This window comes from Homo sapiens, chromosome 1, assembly GCF_000001405.40.
Source record: "Homo sapiens chromosome 1, GRCh38.p14 Primary Assembly".
NCBI lineage: Eukaryota > Metazoa > Chordata > Mammalia > Primates > Hominidae > Homo > Homo sapiens.
Window position 1 is genome coordinate 71926703 of NC_000001.11, and position 22127 is coordinate 71948829.

The window sequence follows — 22127 nt, forward strand, 5'->3', positions numbered from 1 at the left end:
TTGAAAATGTAAAAGAAAATATTATCAACTTAGTAATTCCCTTTGTGTAGAGTAAGAAGTGCATTATGGATTTTGGCACAGTTTTGATCTAAAGTATTGTTCTAATATCAGACCTTACATTAGGCAATACATAAAACTTCATGTGATAATTTTGCTTAGGAATATATGATCTATATATTTACATAGAAAATCTTTTGGAAGTAAAATACTATTTACTGAAATCTACTTTCTCTTTCTGCTACTTCTTTATTCCCAACTGTAGAAAAGTAATGTTCAATAATTCTGAATATTAGAATATTTAGAACAAAAAAATGTGTATTCTGGAAGACAAGCTGGTATTCAAACAAGAATTTTACTAAAAGTAGCTCAATTCACCTTATATCTTATAAATCATAGTAGCTAAACCCATAACCTAATGAATGTCAATATATTCACAGAAAAGTGAGATAATGAATTCCTAGAATCTGGTCTGATATATCCTGCCATGTAACCATAGCAATTCTAGCCAGAAGGGATTGTGTGAAAAGAAAGCTGAAAATGTCCACCTGAAAAATGCATTAATTTTTTAATTGTTATGCAAGATTTCCTTGCCTAAAAAAGCTTACCCCACATAAGCACAGATGGTGAACCTGAGTTTTTCTGTCAAGGTATATTTGGGGAAATAATCTTGGATCTAAATTTGTCTGTGAAGGTATATTTGGGAAAATAATCTTAGATCTGAATTTGTCTGTGAAGGTACATTTGGGAAAACAACCTTGATTCTGAATTTGTCTGTGAAGGTATATTTGTGGAAATAATCTTGCTAAAGTCTAAGATCACGAATGACACCTGAAAAACTTACTTTTCCCAAGTTTCCCAAATTAGGCATAACTATTCTAAATTGTTTAGATATCAGACCATTGTCTCTCTAGACCTCAATAATACTGCTTCATATAGTTCAACAGATTAAATATTTCCTACTGGATAAAGTACCTGGGGAATATAATGGTAGTCCTGGCCAGGCGTAGGGGCTCATGTCAGTAATCCCAGCACTTTGGGAGGCTGGCCGAGGTGGGTAGATCGCCTGAGCCCAGGCGTTTGAGACCAGCATGGGCAACATGGCAAGACCCAATCTCTAAAAAAAAAAAAAAAAAAAAAAAAAAAAAAAAAGCCAGGCAGAGTGGTGTGCACCTGTAGTCCCAGTTACATGAGAGGCTGAGGTGGGAGGATCACCTGAGGCCAGGGAGGTTGAGGCTGCAGTAGGCCAAGACTGAGCCACTACACTTCAGCCTGGACACAGAGTGAGATGCTGTCTCAGGAAAAAATAAATAAATAAATAAATAAATACACACACACACACACACACACGTATATATATACACACACACATATGTACATATATGTATATATACACACATATGTATATATACACATATGTATATATACACACATATGTATATATACACACATATGTATATACGTATATATGTATATATACACACATATGTATATACGTATATATGTATATATACACACATATGTATATACGTATATATGTATATATACACACATATGTATATACGTATATATGTATATATACACACATATGTATATATGTATATATACACACATATGTATATACGTATATATGTATATATACACACATGTGTATATATATATACACATATGTATATATGTATATATACACACATATGTATATATGTGTATGTATATATACACACATATGTATATATACACATATATATGTATATATACACACATACTTATATATACACATATATATGTATATATACACATATGTATACATGTGTATATATATACACACATCTATACACATATATATACACATATGTGTATATATATACCTATATATATTTTTTTTCCTGAGACAGCATCTCACTGTTTTATATATATATAAAATGATCGTCCTGTTAACTAATGAGGCATATCTTCCAAAATGCTAATAAGATCCTGTCTTCATAAATTGCAAAACTGGACATTTCAGATCAATAGAAATAGAAAAATGCAATGCAATGTTCTTAGGCCTAGTTCCATTGTTACTACTTCATTGTGGGGAAAATTTGTAGGGACTAATACAGTCTTATTGTTATCGGTAATTGAACTTACTTGGTCTTTCACCCTGTGATCAGTAGTCAGGTATTGATTAGTCTGCCTGAGCTCAGTATAATTTGTCTTCCATTGGACCTGCACTATAATGTAAATGGGGTAAGTAAATAATGATTTATGGTAGAACAGGTCGAAATCCCCTGCAAAGGGAATAAGAATGAGTATGTATACCCCTATCCATGTAACATTTATCTTAAATATTTGAGATCACTTTTAGCCAAATTATAGAGAGCAAATAATAAGCATTTTCTTACAAGCAGATAACAGGTATTTATCATATATGTTCTTAGAAATGTAGCTTTGTTATCTAGTTATTGATATAAAGAAGCTATAGATCATGTACAAAAAAACATGGACAATTTTGGGACACCTACTCCTAGTTTTTACTGGTAGTAGCTCCACTAACAAGTTATCTTTTTTCATTTATCTAAGATTATGTTTTGTAAGTATGAAGGTGCATTCCTTAAAGATAAAGATATTTTGGGTAGGGTAACGACACATAACGGGTTATTAAGCCATTTTTATTTCATATGGTTTATTATTGTTTCCATGCTAAAAATATTAACAGCATGAGGTTTGAATCTTTGTCCATTTCTTTGTGTTTTAGAGCATGTCCAAGATTGGGTTCCCATGTATAATCTTGATCTCCTCCACAGGTAAAAATAGATCCTGAATAAAACAGACTAGGATCCAATATGAGAGTCTTGTCATGAGCCATTATTGCATCCAGACAATGACTGTTTCAACATCTGTAGCTCTGTAAAATTTTTGTTAGTGGCGATAATTTTTCTTTGGTTTCATTTTTTGACTTGTTGAAAATTTTGAAATTTTCACTGTTGCAGCACAATGGCTTGAATTGTCCAATGTATGTAGTATTTTTTCATGCTTTTTTCACCATTACTGTTTTTTTTTTTTTCTTCTTTTGGTCTTTTGGGAAAAGCAGGCCCATGTCCTGTGATGCTGTTTATTCCCATCAGCTCAAACTGGAACAGAGTGTGGTGTCCTTCTCTTTCAGTGTGCACCTTGTCAAGGCCTTAGTATTCATTGAAAGGATGTTAACATTAGGCAAAGATGTGCTAATCTTTGGAGAATATGGCTTTATACTTGTGGCCACATAGAGTAATTGCTCTCCAGATAATCATTGGTAAGTATAACTTTGAAGTATCTGCACTTGAATTCCTATTCAACGACTAATTGGGAGAAATAATATTTGTGGAGTTTTGCCTAAGAAGGATAGGTTCTAAAATTTATTCATAGATTAAGGTGGTAATCAAAAAGCTATCTCCCTGTTATTGGAATGGCATCTTATTGAATTTATTTTTAAATTTTTTTTTTACTTCCCTGCTCTTCAGGTTATATTGAAAGCTGTTATAAGTAAAAGCCTTATGAATGAATGCTATGTGTACCAAAGAGATGTTCCTTATACCTCACCGTGATGCTCTGAGATAGCTCATGGCAGAAATGCTACTTTATTCTGAATAACAGGATCAGAGTACTGAGAAAAGTAAGTTTTAACCTATGAACTATGAAATGAATAACTGATTCTGTTTCTCTAGATATATTGGCTTTCAGAAATCTTAGAAATAAATTTTTGACATGCTCTGAAAGTATATGAAAATCATATTACAAATTTTATGATCTAACCTCACCTCTGACTGCATCCTACTCTTCTCTTGTTTATTTTGTTCTTCCTATCTATCTTGGTGTTCTGAATACTCCTCCATAAGCCACTTCAAATCCGTTTTAACATAAAATAGAATATTAATAATAAATGATGTTTGAATGCCTTTTCACTTTATAAAGGCTTTCTCAAAACAATGACTAAGCAAGAGATATGGATCTGATGTTGTCATACTTTAGGATCTTTGTGAAACGAATTCAAACAAGACAGAGTTTAGAGTGCAAGATGTTTATTAGGAAATATCCTTGTGATCAGCCGCTGGGGACGGAAGAAGAAGGAGATGGGTTTGAATATAGTAAGAAGTAGAGCTGCAATGGAGTCTGGACAATAGCCTCAGCTGCCCATGAGGAGCTCTGAACCTAAAATGGCCCATCAAAGCTGTCCTACATTGGGCTAAAAGGAAAAGGTCTTTATACTCCTTGCCTCAAGCAGTCATTGGGTGTTGGCTGCTCTAGGCAGGGCTTGACTTCAGCAAGGAGGCTCTCTGCAGCTGAGGCTATCCTCAAAAGGGCCCGGAATGTTGTCTTCTAACTACACTCCCAGGTTCTAGAGAAATAAGCCCACCCTTGATAAGGGAAGTGTAGCACCCCACCTATTACAAATACTCTAGGTGAGTTATGTACCCTAAGGAAATTACAATACCCTGGAGAAGTTAAATACCTTTGAGAAGTTATTTTGATTATAGAGTTATGTGCTAGTCAAATCTCCTCCTACTCTGACCAGAGAAAACTTAGAGTGTATTTCCTTGAAAGGGAATGAGTTGAACACTAAACATTTCATATGTTTATTTAATACACGCTATCTATGAGTGTCTAATTTGTGCTCTATACAATCTAGACTTTAAACGTCATGGAGAACTAAAAGTAGGAACCATGTCTTAGTCCATTTTATGTTGTTATAACAGAATTTCCCAGATCGGGTAATTTATAATGAACAGAAACTTATTTGGCTCATATTTTTGGGGGCTGAGAAGTCCAACAGCATAGTACCAGCATCTTCCAAGAGCGTTTGTGCTGCATCATCCCATGACAGAAAACAGATGGACAAGAACAAGAAAGCAAGAGGGGGCCTAACTCACTTTTATAACAAACCCACTCTCACAACAACTAACCCAATCCCATGACAGCAACATTAGCCCATTCATGAGAGCTCTCATGAATGAATAACCAGCTTTTATTTGACTGCACCTCAAACATTGTTCCTTTCAAGATTAATTTTCCAACACATGAACTTTGGGGGACACATTCTAACCATAGCACAATTCCTGACATATATTCAAATGGGCAGTGTCTATATTTCATGTTTCTCAACATTACAGTATTGTAATAAGGAGCTCTTGCTTCATAACAAGTCCTCCAGCCTCACACACTTTTATACTTATAAACAAAGAAATTAGTTCTTAGTAAATATATCACATAGTTCAAAACAGTGAATAATAGGTCATTTGATTTATCAAAACCATGTTATATATAGGTAATGAAAAAAATTATTTTATTATTAAGTCTATTAGTCAGTTTCAACCCTTTTAAAGCCAGGCTCCAAATTATCACATTCTCCAAATTTCATAAATACATAGGTTGCTCAGCTCCATTGGATAAAGAAAAAATATAAAGAGAAATGAAATGTACTTGTGGAGTAAGTAGTAACAGGAGCTATATGTAAACATTAGTTTGCATGGTGTTCAATAAAAGTTATAAAATATTTTTCTTTTTTAACTTAAATATTTGTTCCCATTAAATCAAAGCAAATAATTGACGTGGGATTTTTGTTATTTTTTTATTTGTTTTGTTTTTTTTTGTTGTTGTCATTTGTCTTTTTTTGACTGGTGTGGACCTTAAAGACCTTCTTGTCTTATGTCTCTTTTGAAATGAGAAAGCCAGAGTTCAGAGAGACTTAATAATTGCCTAGTTTATGCAGGACAATTCCAGATTAGAATGCGGGTTTTCCTATTCCTACTTTAGTGTTTTCCCTCCTCCACTGCTCCATTTATTTATATTAATAGCTCTAAGAAATCAATAGCACTAATAAATTTCTCAAACATAGTGTCTGTGTTGATAATATATCCCCTTTTTATCCCTTTTCAAAATGATTTAAAAAAAATAGTTCCCTGGAGTACATGCAACAATTGAAGATGAGCTTTGTTTTTACCAGCCAATGTATGTTTGACATCAGTGATTAATACAGTCTTCCCTCAGTTGCTAAGCTTCTTTATCTTGGTGAATAAAGGATTGTCAGATTGTTAGGCAAAGAGCATATGCTTCAAAACTATGCTGATACCCCTGAGCATCAGACAATCTCACAAATTTAGGGACTGAAGAGGTGTACACATCAGTTTACTTTTGTTCATTGAGAAGAAATGTAGCTTAAGTGGGGTTGACTTTTTATGACATTTATTTAGTACTTGAATTGACTGACAAGCCTATTAATGTATTCCCTGAACTTTATTAATGTAATTTGAAAACCGCCTACATGTCAATCAACTTCTAATAAGTAATTATGTTCATAAATACTGTAAAATTATTAGCTTTTAATTTTATCCAATCTTATACTTTCAAAACAGTAACATGGATTTTTCTTTTTCTAGAGGAATAAAATATTAAACTGAAGGAACATTCAATAAGTACATTCGTAACTGCTCAAAAGTTCACCATCGTCTAATGACCAGCAAAAAAGAGTACTATAGTAAGACATGTAGCAGTTTTAAAAACGTGAACAATATTAAACAACCTATGTAATATAAAGTTATTTTAAAAATCCTATGAGAATTAAACATGTACCTAGGCTGGTCTTAAATACCGATAGTCTGGGTATTTAAAATATAGACCTAATATGGAACAAGAGAGAATGGAAAAAGGAAAATGGAATATATTTATTCTTCAGAAATATATCATTTAAACCTACAAGTTTAAAATGTACAAGCCAAATGTCTGTGTCTTAAGTAACTCGAACATATTATTGTTCAAGTATACTTTCTTTTTTCACATAATGAAAATCTTTTAGAGTCTTTGAGCTAGAAACTCAAGTCAAAGGGCAGAGAACTGAACAAGAGAACAAGATTAAGCTTGAATAACATAAGAAATGTGTTTTGTCTTACAATCTCATGTCGGTTTCTGAAGGTGGATTAACTCCCACCCTCTGGAGTCCCTGAATAATCTCTGATTAAAGATGAACTTTTGTGAAAATGTTATTATATTCTGATATACCACTTTTAAATAATGAACATCATCACAGCCTACAATAATCTGTAAAAAAAAGAAAAATCACTGAGGAAATTCATTGACTTATTTTTCAATTTATACTTTCCTCCTTAAAGTTAATTGTTTAAGAAGTTTAACCTCATCACAAAGTTAAAATATTTACTGTACTAACAATTGAAGGTGTGTTTGAATTCAAGTTTACCTTTACATAAGGAAATAAAGCTCAGTTAATAAGTCTATAGATTAACAATCTTTTTCAGACTTAAGCTATGCACCTAAGTTAATTTTAAGCCTTGACTTATTGAAGGGTAAACTCAAAGAGAGTACAGCTGACTTTCTCACTCAACTTTCCTATTAGGAATAAAACATGCATGCTCTGGCACCACATTATCACATAATTTGTTATTAATTTTACTTAGAAATAAGGCAACTTCAGTTTTAGTTCCACAGAGCATAATATTTCTAAACAACCAACACACGATTAATTTATAAAGCAGAAAGAAATAATGTAAAAGGTAAAAAATAAACGTTTTCCATTCTCCTAGCATAATAATTAAATTTTTCTTGAAAACCATTTGTATTTTAGGGGACTTATGCTCTTACATTTTAATATGGAAGAGAAATAAAATAATTTGATGATTCTGTTTGTATCTGGAGATTGAAAGTTAGCTAGCATAATTCATGATCTACTGAAAGTAAATCAAATATAAACCATTGTGTACATATTTTCTCAATTACTCTATATTTAAATAAAGAAATCCTAGAAGGCTGCTACTTTTCATTGTGACTTGAATCAAAGTAAACAGAGGTTGGATTGAGACAGAGTATTTGAATGCTTGGAGGATTGCATTTAAAGAGTTACTGTGCATATTTCAAAAAGTTCTAATATTTTCATGTATCTATTGTAGGTTTCAAACATTTAATGTGTCAATCATGGGCTCCCAAAGATTTATTGAAGGGATGAATCAAAGGAAGATATGAGGTGAATCAGTTACAAATGTCATAATATGGTGTTAATGGATATTTCTTTATCTTTGTAAGTAGGGATTTGTATGCCTGTAATAGTCATTACACTTCTTAATGACTACAATACTTGCATACCTTTTTTTAAATGTGTGTATGTGTGTGCGCGTGTGTGTTTCAACTGAAAGCCAGTCAAAAGACTTTTTCATTCTGTCTGTATGACTCTTAATGACTTTCTGATGTCTAGGAATGTAAATTCCTGAAAACTATGACAATATAATTCAACAAATATTTCAATGACAACAAATATTTCAACATTGTTAACTGCTTCCTAGTCATTTTGATACCTAAATATTAAATATTTCTAAGCACAGTCTTTCACAATATAGCAGTTCTGAAAATACATACCTTGCACAGTTAGATGCACCTGCATTGTTCTGGGTGTATGTTGAGTCTGAACAGAACACGTGTATGGGCCATCATCTGTCACATCTACATTCTGTATCTGGAGGCTGTAGTCCCTTTTATTCAATGTTGAAATTGAAACTCGAGGATCCACTGACCACTTATCACCTCCCGCAAAAATAATACTTGACCGGTTCAGCCAGGCACCCTTTGAAGCTCCATCTTCCAAATAACACCTACAAATTACAAGAGATACAACACTATTAATCAAAATAAAAATGAGAGACAACATTATTTTGTTCTGAGTGTTTTTTTCTTTTGCTGAATAATAGCACAGCATCAAATGCAAACATCAGACATTAACTCAGGAAACATGAACATACTGATGCATCTTCCATTCCCAATGCAAATGTGAAACAATACTTGTGTACAGTTTTTTTAAGTGTGTAGTGTGTGTGTGTGTGTGTGTGTGCATGTTCGTGTGTGTGTGTTTCAACTGAAAGTTAGTCAAAAGCCTTTTTCATTCTGTCTGGATGACACATCTAAATAAAGCTAAATTAGTTTACACAATTTTCTGCATTAAAGCCTATTTCATTGTTTGAAATTATGAGAAGCAGTAAAGGTCATGATTTAGACTGACCTGACCCAATCTGATACTGAATATAATGTACCAGATGCAGAAATCATAGACTCATATAAGGGTGGGTTTATTTATTTATTTATTTGTTTCTTTCTTTATTTGAGGCAGGGTCTTACTCTGTCGCCCAGGCTGGAATGCGGTGGAAAAATCTTGGCTCACTGCAACTTCCACCTGTTGGGTTCAAGCAATTCTCCTGTCTCAGCCTCCCTAGTAGCTGGGATTACAAGCGCCTGCCACTGTGCCCAGCTAATTTTTGTATTTATATTGGAGAGGGGGTTTCACTGTGTTGGCCAGACTGGTCTTGAACTCCTGACCTCAGGCGATCCTCCTGCCTTCACCTCCCAAAGTGCTGGGATTACAGGCTTGAGCCACCATGCCCGGCCTATAAGGGTTTACTTTTAAAATAGCTTGCATTTGCACAGTGGTAAGCTTGTACACTGAAACTGTAAACTATGTTTCACTGATAAAACTATAAACTATGTTTACTGATTGCTGTAGTCATTAGATATAAAAAAGCTAGTATAACACTTTTATTAATAATGTTGCTTGTTTTTGCAATTTATTGATCAATACTTTTTTATAAAGCATTCATTTAGCTAGCAAACATTTATAAGATATCTATGGATTTAAACAGGTATTGTCTGTTGCTGTCTACAAGTTTTAGTCTAGCGAGGAAGACACAAGAGCAAACCAATTATTACCATACAGAAAGGAGAATATTTTTATGAAATCACACACAGGATGCATGAGAGATCAAAGAGAGTTACTTGACTCAGGGCGTTGAAGGCATAAAGGCCTTCTGAAATAGGCAATGTCTGAGATAAAGAGATAAGTATTGTAAGATATGGCATTCTAGACAGAGATGCTATATGTGGGCAACACCAGGTAAACATGAGAGAAATAGGAATTTCAGGGAACTACAAATAACCATGAGATATATGGTAAAAGGCATGAGAGATGGAATTGGAGAAATAAAACTGGATCCACATGATGATGACAAGCGTAATGACAATTACTGGATTTTAAGGTCAAATTTGCAGCCATTTATTTAGTCATATTCTGTAACAGGTTTCAAAAATACAGCATTGTGTTTAATAGTAGTCAGGCACATCAAGCTTTAGAACAGAAGAAGGCTGTGGTCATATACCAGTGATTTTGCTGAGGCCTGGAATTCTGTTTCATCTTGAAAATGTTCTGTTACAAATTAAAGACTGGTTTTCTTAAATGAGTACAAAGCACAGCTACAGAACGAAAACACACATACATAAAAATAGTTTGACAGCATTTCCACAGAACACCTTGGGGGATTGAACACAGTGTTTGAGATTGCTACAAAATTGTAAGCTGAAAGCAACAGGGTGGGCTGCTGTCAACTGTATGAAACTAATCAGTGGGTGAAAAAGTAAGGAACAAGGTACATTGCAGAATCTAATTTGCAGTCAGCTTTGCCATCTACAGAAACCAAAACGGAAGTCATAAAGGTCACTGTTAATTGAAAAGCTTGTCCTTATGTATTTAATAAAGAAAATAAAACCCCTTTAATGATGTAATTAAATAATTCCAGCATATTGTCATTCTTAACAATATGCAGAAAGAAGATAGAGGGTACATATTTCCCATTTCACAGATCACATTTGTGCTGGTACAGGACAGAACTCTGAAATATCAACTGCTAGGACTGTGATAATTCTAGTGTGTCATTTAGTATCTGCATTCATCAAGTGTTTCTGTGTGACCACTGCATCTATGGCCTTCGTATGTTTTTCTATTGCGTGTTCATAACAACTCTTTCAGGGTATAGATTGCAAAGCTCTTGATCACTAGAAAATAAATGGAGATGTTTAGGTTAAATGACTGGCCTAAGCCACGATATTAGTGGGTGCCAATGTTGAATTCATAATCAAGTCTTCTCTTTCCACATTCAACATCCTTTCCACTGTAATGCAGATCAAAGACTTTTAAAATAGGTTTCAGAAATGGGAAAATGATTAGAATGTTGCAGAAATTACTGCAAGTAATTTCTTATTTACTGAATGTGACCAACTGCTTAACCTGTCCTAGTATAAAGGAAGCAGAAAATTAATTATTAGTGGATGTTTTACCATGAAAGTCTGATTTAGAATGCTCTATTGGGCATTTCCATTTCCCCAGAGGCAGTAGCAGCTTTACCTTTATTTGGGGGGTATTAGGGAAGACTGCAGAGATTAACCAGTAGTCTTAGCATAAGCACTGTTCCTCAATTCTGGCATGACATGGGCTGCCACAGAAGAATGGAATTCAATTTCTTCATGATGAAAAAAATGAAAAAAGGGATCATTTATGTCTCCTTGGCTTCAATAACTCTATTTTGTAATAGCCAGTGTTCCCAACTCAAAGTTTTTTAAGATACACATTAGTAATACTCTTGAATGACAATCAGAAAAAAAAATATTTTCCTTTTGGAAATTTTGCTGAATTTTGTAGAATTATTCTCAAATGTTCTACATTATTATGTTAGAACATAAATAACCCAAATTACCATACATGGAATTTTACAAATTTTGAATAGCAAGTCTACGTAGACTTGGCTATGTTATGAAATCATATAGAGAATACATGTAGTTTAAAGGTCTAGTATGAGATGACTACATAGACTATGTGAATAGGCCAAACATACACACATACACACACACACAGCTGTATGCATGTGTAGGTGTTTTTTTTTTTTTTTTTTTTGGTCATTATAAAGATTCCTTGAGAATAAGAACTATGTCTTCTTCCTCTGTACCTCCTTTTCATTCTCCATCTACATTCTATTTTTTCCTTTGCAATACAAAGAGATATTGCTTGACATGTGTATGCTGTATTAAGAAATTTTGTAAGGAGGGAAGCTATGTAGGGTACAATGGGGTGGAGGGTGAGAGCCAAGTAGAGGAGCATGATAGCAATTTATTTTTGTACTCTTTGGGTACCAACATTTTTTTTTCTTGGTTTAAAACGTCTAGTGTCTACAAATATAAATTTGTTGGAATCCTGGCCCAAACAGAATTTATAATTTAGCAAGGATGATAAAGCATGCGCATGAACAGCCATCATGCAGAACAGGGAGTGAAAAATGTAGTAATTAAATTGTCATTATAATTGGATTATTGAGATTCTCTGAGAGTCTCTGGCTTCTGCCCTTGACCCTTGTAGCCAGGTCCATTCTTCCCACAATAAGCAGAATGAACATTTTAGAGTTCAAATCAGATCATCAACAACTCCAGGCCTTCTATTTAATTCATAAGAAAATTTATAATTTTGATAGTAGTCAACACAGCCTTATAGAGTCTGGTCCCCTGATGCTTTTCTGACTTTACCTCCCACTCCTATTTTCCACTTTACTCTGCTCTAGGCTGGGGTCCTTTAGCTGTGCTTCCAACAAGTCAGGCATTCTCTTGCCTCAGTTAGTTTGTATTTGCTATTTCTTCCCTGCAACTTTTTTCCCCTAAAGTTCTACATAACTTGTTCCCTATCTTCCTTAGGTTTTCATTAAATGACCTAATGTATTAAACAGCAAAAATAGCGCGACTGTTCCCACACTCCCTTTATACATGTTATCTATTTACTTGATTGATTATTGTCTGTCTCTTTCCACTAGAAGCAAGATCCAGGAATTTTGTCTATTTGGTTGCTTCTATATATTCCAAGGGCCTAAAAATAATGAACAATAAATGTAAGCGTGTGTTGAGTGGATAAATGAAGGTAAAAATTAGGAAAATTTTGGAGAAAGGAATAATATGATAAAGTGTATCAAAATTCCCAAAGTGAGGCATAGTTGGAAAAGCAAAGTCACACCCATGTAAACTATAATTACATGTAATTAAATGCAGATATATGTAGTACAGACAATAACTGGTGAATGATACAGAGGATGTGCTAAGCAATCTAAATCAGTAAGTGAAGAACTAAGCTAAGAATTCAGTGATCAGAAAAAAAGGCAAGTCAGGGGCAGGGGTGGGCAGAGTGCCGGTGGCAGATCAAGAAAATCATTCATACACATAGCTACTTGAAATAAGAAAGAACTACAACATTTGACTCTACACTTCCGAAACCCTTTTAAACCATTAGACATTCTGCTTAGTATGTGCTAGGAGGTTTGCTAGGCATTTTACATTTATTATACCATTTAAGCCTCACATAACCCTATGAGCCAGATACTACTATTATCTTAATTTTTTAGATGAAGAAGCAAAGGTACTGGCAGGTTGTGATTGAACAAAGCCAGTTGGCTTGCATTCTTAACCACAGTGACAGACTATGCTAGTATTTTTAGAGTCAGGCAGCAGCAAGTCAGGGGGACTACCTGTTTAGAATGGAGGAATTAGGGTGTAAGGGGGAGTTCAGTGAAGTGAGGGTGGTCAGATCATTAATGGGACAGCATGAAGTAACAGTTCTCTGGTCACAAATTCAGATCTTTTTTCTTTGGACTTCAAAATGGAACATTTTAGCAGCAAGTGATCTTAAGGTCCCTTTGAAATATAGACAATGAAATAATCTGAATAAAAATGTTCAATAATAAATATATCCTTTAATCGAGTATGGCATAGCTTTCCTTGATAGTGGTTTTTATCTTTCACTTTAAAAATCTGCTAGACTACCTATTTTGCAAGGAGATGAATAAAACAGTTCCAAAAATACACTCTTCAGCATATGCTCTGTTGACACTATACCAAATATCATGATAAATACTTAAATTTTCAGTCAGTCATCTGGATATTTTGTGCACATAGTTCCAAACATCTGGCTATTGGAAAATACATAGGAAATAGCTTGAACATTTCTTTTTGCTTCATGGTTTTAATTATATAAACCCAGGCTAACAATATTTAATTCTTTTCTAATAAGAATGGCACTGCTGCCTAAATTCTTTTTAGGGGCCCCCTTAAAGGATGTTACTACGCATTAGGCAGGTCTCTGTTTTGGGGGTATGAAGTCCCATTGGGTGAGATGCTATTTGATCAAACTGTTAGGAAAATTCTAACAGAATATGCCTGTGATACTAACTCCTGTGGTGATTAAATTGGAAAGGTGGACATCAGAGAGTGTAGCGAAAAATAGCATATTTAGGGTATTTGTTATTTTTTAAAGCTCAGTTAAGTCAAAAAGCCTGTGGCTGCTGAGGAATGATTTTGTCTACTTATATCTCAAATTCTTTGTTGCACAGTCCAAAAACATAAGCATTAGCACCATTACCAGTATTCCACACAGCAGAATTTATTCAGCTGTATGGAGAAAGAACAGCTTTCTCAAGACATTTTGATTAATGAAAGCTCCTATTAAAGGCACCAATTAATAAAAAATAAAAAGTACATTTTTCTCTTGGACTCAAAGCTAAACTGAGTGAAAATAATATTCCTATGAAGAGACTTACCAGCTACCTTTACTGCTGTCTCTTCATTGCATCATAAAGTCCTAAATTTGACAGAAGGAGAACTTTCAAAAGCATATTAACAGAGTTCAGAACCCCATAAAATCTCCATGCTGATTTTGCACACAAAGAGAGTTTTGATATCCCAATTTCAAGACCAAATGAGGTAAGGCAAGTGAAGCAGAGATTATATGGAAGAGAACAGAAATTTTACCATCTTTCTCCCCTACCTTTGTTTTTTAGGGCACTCTCTTCTTGATATCTTTCATGAGAGTTGATTCCTAGATAATATGTATGTATGTATACATAAATTGTATGGTTATATAAATATTTCCTAGATAATAATATCACTTTATATAATCTTATGATTGACAATATTTAAAATTCTCTTTTACAACTACTCAGACACAGAAATGGTTCTTATTATCTTTCTATTTTTGCAGGTGTGGCAGAGGTGGAAGACAGTGAAGGGTGGTGGGAAATCCATGGTAACAATTTGTCCAGTGAACTTCAATTATTTAATGAAGTCCTCATCCTTAGAGATGATAAGAATTGTATTTTAAAATATGTTCTGGTGATATCTAAGTGAGAACTGCACTTCAGCAGGTAACAGTTCAATACCGTTCAGTATACAATAGTAATATGTTAACATTACTATGCACCAGATACATTTTAAGCATGTTATGTATATTTTTCATTCAATCCTCAAAACAAGACTTTGAGTTAGGTTATATCAAAAACTATTATTATTATCATTATACCCATTTTACAATGAAGACACTGAGATGCATCTGTTAGTTAAGTAACTAACAGATGACTTGCTTATTAACATTTGTATTATATGAGAAAAACTTTATTATGAAATAATTACACTAAATCTTCAGGCCTTAGAACCAAAGTAATATCAATAAAACATGTACATTTATTTTCAAAATGGGAGTTATGCCAAGTTGGGTATATTTTACTTCTTGTGTAATAGCAAAAAAGAAAAAAAAAACAAGTAGCATTGGTTTCTTATTTTGTTGGAAAAAGAATTCTATTTTCTATGTATTTCACTCTAGCAATTTGGGATAATATGCTTATTTTTAAAATATTTTGGATACAAGATTGAAAACTATCAGCCACTATTGATTATAAGACCAAATCCTCGAACATCTTAAAACATTTTTACATTGTAAATTAGATGGGAAAAAAAACTGAAAATTAAGCTTTGTGAATTTTTCTTACTTTTTTCATGCAGAACTATACTTAACGCCTCTCTGAAATCTGTGAAGTTTAATGTAATCAAGTGATGGTATTAATTCATATAGTTTAGTTTTACTTTAATGCACAACTTAAAATTCTTTAAATCTATATATATATATATATATATATATATATTTTTTTTTTTTTTTTTTTTTTTTTTTTTTTTTTTTGAGACGGAGTCTCGCTCTGTCGCCCAGGCTGGAGTGCAGTGGCGGGATCTCGGCTCACTGCAAGCTCCGCCTCCCGGGTTCACGCCATTCTCCTGCCTCAGCCTCCCAAGTAGCTGGGACTACAGGCGCCCGCCACTACGCCCGGCTAATTTTTTTGTATTTTTAGTAGAGACGGGGTTTCACCGTTTTAGCCGGGATGGTCTCGATCTCCTGACCTCGTGATCCGCCCGCCTCGGCCTCCCAAAGTGCTGGGATTACAGGCGTGAGCCACCGCGCCCGGCCTAAATCTATATTTTTTAAGAGACAAATTCTTGCTCTGTCACCCAGGCTTGAGTACAGTGGAACGATCGTAGCTCACTGCAGCCTCGAACTCCTGGACTCAAGCAATCCTCCTGCCTCAGCCTCCCAAATATGAGTCACCATGCCTGGCCCTAAGTTTGTTTTATATATATATATAAGTATATATGTGTATATATATGTGTGTGTATATATATATGTGTATATATATACACACATACATATATATGTGTATATATATGTGTGTGTATATATATGTGTATATATATACACACATACATATATATGTATATTTATAAACTATACATATGTGTATGTGTGTGTATATATATATAAAACAAACTTAACTATACATATATGTATATTTATAAACAAACTATACATATATGTATAGTTAAGTTTGTTTTATGTATATACTCACACATACACACACATACATACACATGTATCATACACATATATACACATGTATCATACACATATTTACACATGTGTGTATAAAATATGAACTTAGAGCCATTTATATATATACATATATATGTATATATAACATTTTAAATGCCTGGGAAATCATTCAAATTTGGTTATGATTAAGTCACATTTTCAAACATTAAAATCACTCATTTTAACTCATAATTAAACTGTTTTTCTGCAATACCACAAATTGCTTTATCTTATTCTTTCCATTAATAAGAAGCTTCCAAGCAAGAATATATGTCTGTGTTAGGAGGGGCCATGCCAAACAATTTTTACATGTAAAGGGTGCTTCAATACATTATTTGTAAATAATTTAACATATAAATTAGCATTTATGAAGTAAAATAAGCATGGATAGAGTAAGAGAGATCTTGTACATTATGATTAAAGAAACTAACAAAGTCTGAATATCAAAATATCTTCATTTTTGGTCTGTTACTAATTACTATCCTCTTATCCCGATAATAAATTTCATTTGCAGAATGATTACTATGGGTTAAGAGGCATGGAAATATTTTTTAAATGTATGATCTCATTTAACACTCACAAAAACATTCTGAGAAGTAGATAGGTCTTATCATCTCTGCTCTAAGATTACTGAATGCATGAATACAAAATTGATAAATGAAGCAAAGAATGTAAAAGTCCTAAAAAAGAAAAAAAGGTGTTACAAATTTGAGTGGTTTAAGGCTAGCTTTGTTCCAATGGCTTTAAACATGAATTAAGCAGAAAATTTCTTTGTCATCTCTACTTTTTAATTTTTGAATTCAACTAAATCAGCTTGCTTTCTCCCACATGGACTTGATTGAATGTGAGATATTGGGATCTGGAAGGGCTTCAAGATTTTTGATAACTGGCAGGTGCTCTGAACCGCTGTGGGGAAAGTTCTGTCTGCAATACTGTCTCCCTGGCAGCTGCTTCCTGGAGAAGTTGGACTTTCACCTCAGGAGATACAAAGATAATGAAAACTACATTCAAAATGCATGCAGGAGGTGTTTAAAATAGCAGTATCAAAGACAGGGAATGCAATCAGATCCAGAGAAATGACTGAGATAAAGCTCTAGGCTCCAGACAAGCCTTTCTATTCCATCCTCTTTGGGATGGAGCCAGGTACATACACCTTATCCCTAAATTGAGGGAATAAAGGACATGGACTTCTCTAGTAAGAACAGTATCAGCAATTGCAGCTCGTCTCCCTTCCATCAGCCATCTTTGTGTTGAAGTCATTAAAAGTATTCTATTTGCATATATTAATAAATAGAGATTATAAAATAAGAAACATAACACGGATGGATATACGGAAAGGTTCTAAATTCATGTTTTGTAAAAATAATAAACTTATGCTACTTTACAGTATCACCAAATACAGACATTTAAAAAGCAAAATGAATTCTGTTCCCCACCTTCCCAACCCATCTGCTTATGTTGATCTTTAAGCATCCTGCCAGGCACTGCTGGATTTTTCTTATTGCAATTTTTCCTAATAAAAAATATTCTGAACACAAATTTTGTTTTATGAATAAAAAATGGTTACACAGTCAACTAATTAAAGCTAGCCTTGCAATCAGTTACTATAGTAGCCATTAACCCATATTTGTCTGTCTTCTCGAGAAAATGGACTAAACCATAATTCAGTATGAACTATGCCTTAAAATATAAATTAAGGAGTATACCCAAGAAGAAAAAAATTAATGTTTTTTTAAACAGCTTCCTGTAAAAAAATTAAACTTTATATTTTTGAAAGATGTTAAGTTAAAAATAGTCTCAAATTTGAGTCTTTGCTAGATCTTATTTTTTATTATAACTTTTCCTTAACAAACTGTGTAGTGTAATTATAGTTAATATTGAGTTCAAATGTCATCTTTCTTGTGTACTAGGCCTGGAACCTGGGCCAAGTTAATTTACCTTAGTTTTCTCACCTGTAAGATGGGGTTAGTAAAAGTACTTACTTGACAAAATTGTTATGAGGATTAAATTAATTAGTTTGTTTAACTTGTTTAGGACAGAAGGAGGTGCATGATAAGTATGCAATTCAGGTTAACTATTATTACCCTACATCCCTGTGGTTAACTTTCTGTTTGAAAACAATACTACTGCCAGTAATAACAATAACAAAAAACCCTATGTATAAAATATAATTAGAAGAAGGAAAAAAATAAAGAATTCAGAGTCTGGCTTGATGTAGCAAAACTTTATTTTTCTATACTGTCAGAGCACAGAGCTGGTTCACAGAACTAATTTTATAGGTAGCTAATTGTCATATGTAAAAGTACTTCATTCATTTACTCCCCTTTGAACTGCCACAAAAGTTTCTTTTTTTATACTTCCCCATCTTATAAGCAGAACATGTAGAAAAAGACAGCCTTGGTGTTATATTTTAAAAAGTTATAAAAGTTGTACTGGGACTGAAAACTTACATTCAGAAACCATATTCCTAGTTTACTAGCAACTGTTTTGGGCAAGTAATTCAACTTCTATAAAGAATTTAATAGTTGCAAAATTGAGATAATATCACCTGTGTTAAGTAGCTTCTATTTTGGTATAAGATCAAAGAGGCTGTGCATGGGAGATAGGTTTATAAAGTTATAAAGTGAATTATAAATGTAAACATTTTATAATTATTACAATGTTTTATAGGTTAATGCTCTTCATAACTCTAGGTTATGATTGTGAATTTCTATATAGAGACTGCATAAGCACACTGATCTTCCCAAGCCCATTAATGTAAGTAAAGGGTTACCAATTCTATTCGTTTCTTTTTTTTTGTGTGGGAGTGACAGGGTCTCACTCTGTCACTGAGGCTGGAGTGCAGTGATGCAATCATAGCTCAATGCAGACTTGACCTCCTGGGTTCAAGCGATCCACCCGCCTTAGCCTCTCTCCACATGTCCTACATTCCCGAATATCTGGGGCTACAGGTGCATGCCACCATGCCTGGCTAAATATTTTTATTTTTATATTTTGTAGAGACAGGGTCTATTATGTTGCCCAGGGTGGTCTCAACCTCAGTTTTTTTTCTTCTTGCTTGTATGGTTCATATAACAATTTTGTAAATTATGTACACCTTTGAACTCTCAAAAATTGCCACCTAAAATTTTCATCATAATCCAAGGTCTTTGCCAACCTATAATTTCTTACTACTATCAATATTGCTATTTTAAAATAAAACCGTAAGTTCTCAATTTTAAATATGTCCAAAGAAATCGAATTAAGAGTGATGTGATGTTCATTAACAGCCATTTAAAACAAGATGAACAAACTCTACTTTAAAATAAACGCTACGTTGCTTTTTCTCCTTAAACTGATATTATTCTACTTATCCCTCATAATTTGATCCTAATTTTTCTTTAAAGCCTTTTATTGATATCCTATCTTTTCTACTGTAAAATGCTGTATATAAATTAGCATTAAAATATGTCTTGTGAACATACAAATCTAAGTGAAAAAATATTCAAAAATAAAATAACTTTTATAATTATTAATAGTATATGATTGAACAACTTTTATATTTATATATGTATCCCACATTTTAATAAATATTTGTCCAGCACTTTGGAAGGCTGAGCTTGAGCTCAGGAGTTCAAGAGAAGCCTGGGCAACATAACAAAACCCCATCTCTACAACAAAAATTACATAACTTAGCTAGACATGGTGGTGTGCTCCTGTAGTCCTAGCTACTTAGGAGGTTGAGATGGAAGGATGGCTTGAGTCTTGAGTCTGGGAGGTGGAGGTTGCAGTGAGCTGAGATCACACCACTGGACTCCAGCCTGGGCAACAGAGCCAGATCCTGTCTCATACACACACACACACACACACACACACACACACACACACACACGTATATGTATATATATATGGATAACTTTATATAGTTAATATATATTATATATATAAATCATATATATAACTTAATATAGTTAATAATAGAGGTGTTAATGAATTGGTTTTATCTAGATACATGGAAAAACTTTCTTACTCAAATGGCAAAACTTTTTACTTACAGGAAATAAAGTCCAGAATGAATTCTTCCTAGATTTTGTTGGAATGGATTTTATGGACAGAAACCGTGAGAAAATCTGTTTTCATAAATAAGTCTATGGGAATGGAAGGTGTCCTATTTAAGCAATACTACTAATTCTTCAACTTGATGAGAGGGATACAACAAACAATTACAGGAATCTCACCCAAAATCATTCCTAATGCTTTATCAGTTGATGATGATACTATACACCCTGTAGATGTATAGAAAGCAAGTTGTAAACCACCTCTATTGCAAAAGAATTTAGCAACCTCTAGATATTGTTTTAACATCAACATTTTAAATAGCCTCTTTGTTTACTTTCTGCAAGTTTTAAACTTTGGGCCGTGGCCCATGGTATGATTCTACATGTTCAACAGGTTTTGTGAAAGGTGACAGTAAAAGCAGGAAGTAGGAACCAGAACCAGTCAAAATACAGACATTCTCCAGCAGGTTGGTCACTTAAAAAAAAAAAAATATGGAAATTAATGATCAATAAATTTCTTAGAACTATCTGTTCCTGCACAGTCCTTGGAAAGTCATCATGTACCTAAGTGTATTTATGTCTAAGATGCTGTATTTGGTATATTTTTCTAATGGTAAGCTACCAACATATTTGAGTAGTATTTCTCCACTTCTAATCTTCCCTTTCTATCTTCCTAGAGGTTGGGAAAGGAGACAACTGAATATATGTGAGAATTATTATAATATAAGTTTACACATTGAATATAGTGCCCCAAAGACAATCTTTCTGAAGAACACGGACTTTTAAAATACAGTTGCTTAAAAAATCTTTTCACTTTGTTCTATCTTGTGTAGATTTAAAGTTGCTTAAATTCTGTTAAAACAACAACTGGAATGTAGCACACTTTATTATAATTTCCATGGATCAGCGAATTAAAATATTTATGTTCTCTCTTGAAAATAAAAATTGTGCCCTATTCTACTAAATTCTATGGGCTTGAATATCGTTTGTATTTAGTCAATATTTATGTACTTTAGAAAAACTTAAGCTGATATCCATATATTATAAATATTTATTTTTAAATATGTGTTTGTAGTCTAGGGTTTCTTTTCATTTTGAGAAATATAAAAATATATCTTTATGATCAACTCTTTGTTATTGTTAAATATTTGCTTCTTCAAGGGATATGTGTGCTTCAAAAGGGGCGTGTGTGTGTGTGTGAGAGAGAGAGAGAGAGAGAGACAGGAGATATTTGGTACGAAAATGGACAAGACATGAAAATGAGTATTTATTATTACATGTATAGTAAAAAAAGTGACACACTTTGAATATGAAACCAATATATAATTTAAATTAATTTCATCTGAGCTCTTTCTTACAGAAAGTGCCAGAATCTCCCCACATATCGATGCCTCTCTTGCTAGAGGATCCATCCAGCAGCAGCATCTAGTGGACAGCTGGACCTGTCATATCTCACTGCCTTGCTGGCTCAGAAATGCGAGTACCTCTAAGGGATGTAAAATCCACTGCGATTTAGGAAAACCGTAAATTTC

The 22127-nt window shown here is 33.5% G+C and overlaps 1 protein-coding gene across 4 annotated transcripts in view; it reads right to left on the reverse strand.

Moving 5' to 3' along the window:
• The window catches only part of NEGR1 (neuronal growth regulator 1), an 886597-nt gene that overhangs the window by 530760 nt on the left and 333710 nt on the right, over window positions 1–22127 (reverse strand). For all 4 annotated transcript variants that reach the window (NM_173808.3, XM_011541200.4, XM_017000961.3 and 1 more), the window contains exon 2: window positions 8377–8609. In NM_173808.3, coding sequence (NP_776169.2) covers window positions 8377–8609 — 233 coding nt within the window. The remainder of the gene's footprint in view (window positions 1–8376; window positions 8610–22127) is intronic.